Source organism: Homo sapiens, chromosome 3 (assembly GCF_000001405.40).
Source record: "Homo sapiens chromosome 3, GRCh38.p14 Primary Assembly".
In the NCBI taxonomy this organism is placed as follows: Eukaryota; Metazoa; Chordata; class Mammalia; order Primates; family Hominidae; genus Homo; species Homo sapiens.
This window is the reverse complement of record NC_000003.12, coordinates 164,826,338-164,832,337: the sequence shown is the minus strand read 5'-3', so window position 1 is coordinate 164,832,337 and position 6,000 is coordinate 164,826,338. Positions and strand designations below refer to the sequence as shown.

Sequence of the window (6,000 nt, the reverse complement as noted above, 5' to 3'; positions counted from 1 at the left end):
TAGAGGAAGGAATATGCCAAGCTTAGGAATGTAAATATGGGAAAAGCATGACGAATGAGGAAGGCCTGAGTCCTTGACCACAACTCCCCCCAGAAACTTTAAAGCAAGGACTGTGTACTATGTCTGTGGTAGAAAAGACAGTTATTCCCCATGGGTCTGGCCAGGAAGAGGCTTTGTGATTGCCTATTGTCAGGCCTGAAAAATTATGCATAGTTTTTTAACCAGAGTATGAACTTCTCTGGATGGATCTTTGTAGACTTATAAGGCCCTTGAAGGACAAAAGCATAAATGGCATCACATGAGATTTTATTAGCCTGATTCTGTTCAACCAACTTTAACCAGATATATTAGTTTTTAAAAATGTACTTAACAGTGCTTGTATTAGTCTATTTTCACACTGCCATAAAGATACTACCTGAGACTGGTTAATTTATAAAGAAAAAAGGTTTAATTGACTCATAGTTCAGCATGACTAGAGGCCTCAGGAAACTTACAATCATGGCAGACGGCAACAGGGGAGCAAGGCATGTCTTACGTGGTGGCAAAAGAGAGTGAGAGTGAAAAGGGAAGTGCCAAATACTTTTAAAACCATCAGCTCTTGTGAGAACTCATGCACTATTGGGAGAACAGGATGGGGGAACCACCCCTATGATCCCATCACCTCCCAACAGGTCCTTCCCTCAACATGTGGGGATTACAGATTGAGATGAGATTTGGGTAGGGACACAGAGCCAAACCATATCAGGGGTCAATGTCAAAATTAATATCAGATCTCATTCTGGGACTTCCAGGACAGAGAAAGCGTAATCCGGAACAAAGCCATACCTGTCTCCTGCCTCCTGACCTGCCTCACACTCCTCTACCTGAATGCACTTGTGAACTTCAGAATTTTGAAGCTCTGTCTCCTGACATCACAGATAGACAGTAAGACTTGTCATCCTAGAAATTTTCTGACTATTAACATTCAGAATTGCTTTTTTTACTTCATGTGTGATTACAAATCTTTTCTTCTTTCATATTTGCTCAACAGAGACAGGGAATTCTTATGTTACCTCCATTTCTATACACATTTAACCAATGTAATATATTATAAATATAATTATGTAAATTATTTTACCTTTTTTTATAATTTCCCAATATGTTCTAAATTTTAACACATAATTTTAACTAACAGTAGCTATAAATATCAGAAATAATAAAATATTGAAACACATATAGAAAGTGCCTATTTCCTAGGATCATTTTTTGTCTCTATTTCAGTCATTTTAATGTATTTTTTGTAATTAATACACATAGGAGGGACACTCTGTTTGATATTATTGTTTTGGTACAAACAGTAATTCAGTCTTTCAAAGCTTGTCAACTAATCAAGGTAGAAGAAAACCATGAACTAGAAGAAACAAAATTGACATCAATAGACTTCACTCACTGCCTGCCCCTAAGAGAATGCAGAAACCAATTTTGTCCCGATAGTGATAACGCCACACAGATTAGATAACAAAAGAGGATACAGTAGGTTTAAAATATTGGGGGAATTTAAGATAAAAATCAATGATGTTAAAAATTAGCTAGGCGTGGTGGCGGGCACCTGTAGTCCCAGCTACTCATGAGGCTGAGGCAGGAGAATGGCATGAACCTGGGAGGGGAGCTTGCAGTGAGCCGAGATTGTGCCACTGCAGTCCAGCCTGGGTGACACAGCGAGACTCCGTCTCAAAAAAAAAAAAAAAAAAAAAAAATTAACGATATTACTTAAGTAATAAAATGTCAAAACATCACTGAGGAACTTAATGAGAGAAAATTTTAAAATGCATAATAGTTTGGGTCGAATTTAAACAAATTTAATATACATTATACATCTCATAATTTTTTCTAATAATTTACTACACCAACGTTATTTATATAAGATTACAAAACTGATAGATGAGAATCCTCATAGAAATAACTAGAAAAATCAGAGAAAATTAAACAATTTGTTTTACTAGTTTGAGTGTTCTCTGAAGAATTGAAGACTTAACCAAAACTTAATTGACCATAAATTGTAAGCACAATATTAAAAGATATTAAAAAGACCAATTTTATGCAGTCTATATTTGTGCTTTATATTTCTTTTTCTATGAAGATCCACATTAGAATATAAGTTACATTTTACACTTTAAAGTAATTTTTTTCTGGTGGTTAGATTTTCAATACGTGTAGATATTATGCAATATCTACCTATGAGAGACTTCTTTCTTTGCCAATTGTAGCAATTACTCCTTTTCCTTTAGTAAAAACCTGTGTAACATAGCTTTGTCATTTGATTCTTAATTAAGCCTGCTCATTTTATAAGAGAAAAGAATCCAGTTAGTGCATCTTTTATATTCCAAAAGTCCTTTGAAATTGAATAAATGTTTAAGCCCTTAAATTATATAGAAGTAAATTTGATATAATCATGTATCCAGTTTTACTAAATTTTCTATTCTTAACCTAGGAGACTCACCATTATTAACTAGAAAATATTATTATTACTATATTATTATTATTTTGTTATTTTCCATCAAGGTAAGTATTGCTGAAGATTGGAAATGTATTTCTATTTTCAAATCAATACAAGATATTCTTGGAGAAATCAAGTTATTGTGGTCAGTATGTGTGATTTTTAACACATATATGTAACATTGTATAATGTTATAAAATGTTACATATTTATTTATTTTTATAGTTTAAAAAGATAACAATATACAAAGCCCTTAACTAATTACATGGCTTATATTGGAACTTAGATAATTGTCCCTGGAAGGGGTATGACCTGAGATTATTAAGGGTAGAATCTGTTTTGTTGTTCATATTTTCAAAATCAAACAGGAATCAGAGATATCTGAGAGAACATTTTTTTTTAAGTCAGAATTATTCCCCCAAAATCCTGAATTCGAAAGTAATTCCACATATACATTGAGTACTAGAGAATTTTCTGAGTAATAGTTAACGTGCTCCAGAGGGGAGCCACCCATGGAAGGAGGCTCACTAGGCTATTTTGGCAGCAATGTCTTGTCGGGGAACATTGCAAGTAATATATGAATAGCATCCATCAGAAGTTCTTATTTTAAAAGGCCCTTAATCACCTAGCATGGGATTATGGATCCCATTGACCTCAAGTATCTCCAGTTAAAGTTATTGTTTACATATAAGTCTACTGAGTGGCCTGGAACATGTTTATCTCTTCAATAACCTCTGGAGCATTTCCTGCTTTATGACAAGCAGCCAGAAGTAAAGAAAATCTTTCTGAAGATGGAATTTTTAACTTCTGAGGAAGAGATATTTCAGTTTGTGATTTATACCCAAGGGATTGTTTCTGACTTGTGATAATTTTATGGATTATACAATTGAAAACCTTCATAAGCATAAAAAGTAAATAATCCTAGCTATTCGGTTAAAGCTATTGTTACAACATAAACTTAACTTTTAGCAAAAAGAAACTCAAGTACTTATACACGTGAAAATGATAACTTGGTTGTTATTATTTAGCGTTTCTAAATAAAAAAGATAAAGTGCTGGTGATATTGCATAGATATGCAGAAGCACTGGTTCTATATCTATAACCAAAGAAAAGAGATTTTCTGTTAACTGAACCAAAAATGTTATTTTTGAATTCCACACAAAGCAATATAGTATCTGATATGTCCTACACCACAATATCAGCATCTGATATCTCCTCCACCTTATTTTGAAATATAAAATAAGGCCTCGTGTCATTTAAATAACACTATTTTGAGAACTATCATTTCAAGATTATTTTTACCAGATATTCCCAATGATCTCTAATATTTGCTCACTTGGTCCAAAGTAATAAATATAGGTTTCCACTGCTAAAGATGAAAAGTAGAAAGACGCTCTTCTCTCAGTTTTTGTTGTTCCCTCACCCATCTGAGACATCCAATGAAGGACAGTCACACAGACTATACCCCAGCTTTAAAAAACAGTGATAATCCTATGTAAATTTACGCCAGCTAAATTCAAATTTGGGGGAGTGTGGTCAAGTGTCAGGACATTGGATGGACAATCAAAATACATTTGTTTTTACTGAGGTACCTAAATTAAGGACTTTTCTAAGAGAAATCTATTCTATAGCAGTATTACTTGATTTTTAAAAACTGATACCAAACAATGACTAAGAACAGATACTACTCTATTCAATGTGTGTTAACTCATTTATTCTTCAAAACAACACTGTGAGGTAGACTTTCCTAGGATCTTTACAAGTAAGGAAACAGGCATAGAGATATTAATAACTGCCCAAGTCTGTGCAGGTGATGAGGGGGCAGAGTCAGATTTCCAACCTTGCAGTCTGGCTACAAAACCCATGCCTTAAACGTTGCACACTATAACCTCTCCTGAGGCTTCACTGTATGCAAACTGCTAGCAACTTCATGGTTTCCTCTGTCTTGGAAACTGAGCATCTTACTATATGTAACTGAGATCGCAGTGAATTAAGTATAAATGACTAATATGTAAATGAGATTTTCTTTTGCTTTCGCTAAATAGCTATTCATAAGCATTGCAAAAATAAAGCTGAGCTCTTCAGAATAACATCCCACTGGTATACAACTTAGAGATTATTCGTGTTTGATTGTTGTAAAATTCAACTATCAAATATCCTGATATATTCTTTTCTTCCCATTTACAAATTATCTTGCATCTTTTATTAATAGTATCTAATCTTATTGTATTACATTTTTATGGTGCACCCGTTCATTTTCTTTTTGGAGGTAACTAGAATGTAAATAAATAAATACATAACTCTAAGTAATCTTGACTTATAAAAAAGTAAGTAAAATATATAAGAGTATTTCCAACCTTATGCTAAACAGCCAAAGGTAAAGAAAAACTTTTTGAAGATGCAATTTAAAAATTACTTTTAGGTATCTTGGTATCAATTTACCATTTACTGATTTGGTTTCTGTGACTGAACAACTGTTTTATACTTGCAAATAATAGAAGTGTGTTTGTGGTGACACATTAACGTGGAAGATTATTTGGAATAATATATGATCTATCCCATTTTACTAGGGAAGAAATGACAACTCAGGAGCTTAGTTGGTGTCAGTTCCTATAGCTTCTAAGTAACAAAATCAGTGGTTTGGGACAATATATTTTTATCCTAGAACCAGTATTCTTTCGACGTAATGATTGTGATAAGTGGCTCAGCTATTTTTCTGTGATATTTACTTTCCAAAGACCGGTAGGGCATAGGAGAAACTTCAAGCAGGGAACCCAGAAAGATCCAGAAGATAAATATGAGGTCAGAACCTTCCCATTAAAAGGACAAATAAGGCAACGGTGGAATGGTAGAGTGGTGATTATATTGATGGAAATTTAGGCAAACATAGATGACTCAATCTAGTCACCATCGCTGAGTGGAAGAACAACATGACACATAAATAGCAAGGAGAATGCATGTGGGTAATGACAATTCATTTCAAGAAGACAAAATCAACAAATACTACCCATCCCTACCCTGCAAACACTCAGTATCTGAGAATTCTAAGGTTTGAGAATTCCCAATGTGTGTTTAGTGAGGTGATGGTTATATGCTGAGTACAGCCAAAGCTACGAACATTTTCTTTAAATTTCAAAATTGATAACCTTGCTTCCCCCAGTAAGACCCCTCTATATGAAATATCTCAAATATAACATGAGCTTTCAATATGTAGGATGGGTAGGGTATTATGTCTGTCTTAGTTTGGTCCAGATTATCTTCTTATAGCTATCTATATGCCTATGATGTTGTCGATGTCTCCCATGTTGAGCTGTTCATATGTAACCCTCCAGTTTATACATAACTCTCTAAAATTAGGACTTAGGCAAGGTATGAAATCAAGGGAAGTCATCACTCAGCACACATTTTTTGGTCTACTCCTAAGAGTTCAGTGACTTTTGCTTTACCTATATTAATTGATAAAGTGATAATGAATATTGATATTTAGTCCAATAATAGATGAAGCCACATTCTCATGGTGAAGT

General features: G+C 33.8%; 1 long non-coding RNA gene across 1 annotated transcript in view; it reads left to right on the top strand.

The window, feature by feature from the left end:
- Window positions 1–857: 857 nt before the first annotated feature.
- The window catches only part of LINC01324 (long intergenic non-protein coding RNA 1324), a 117,386-nt gene continuing 112,243 nt past the window's right edge, over window positions 858–6,000 (top strand). Inside the window, exon 1 of the long non-coding RNA NR_126405.1 lies at window positions 858–924. This is a non-coding gene — a long non-coding RNA (long intergenic non-protein coding RNA 1324). The remainder of the gene's footprint in view (window positions 925–6,000) is intronic.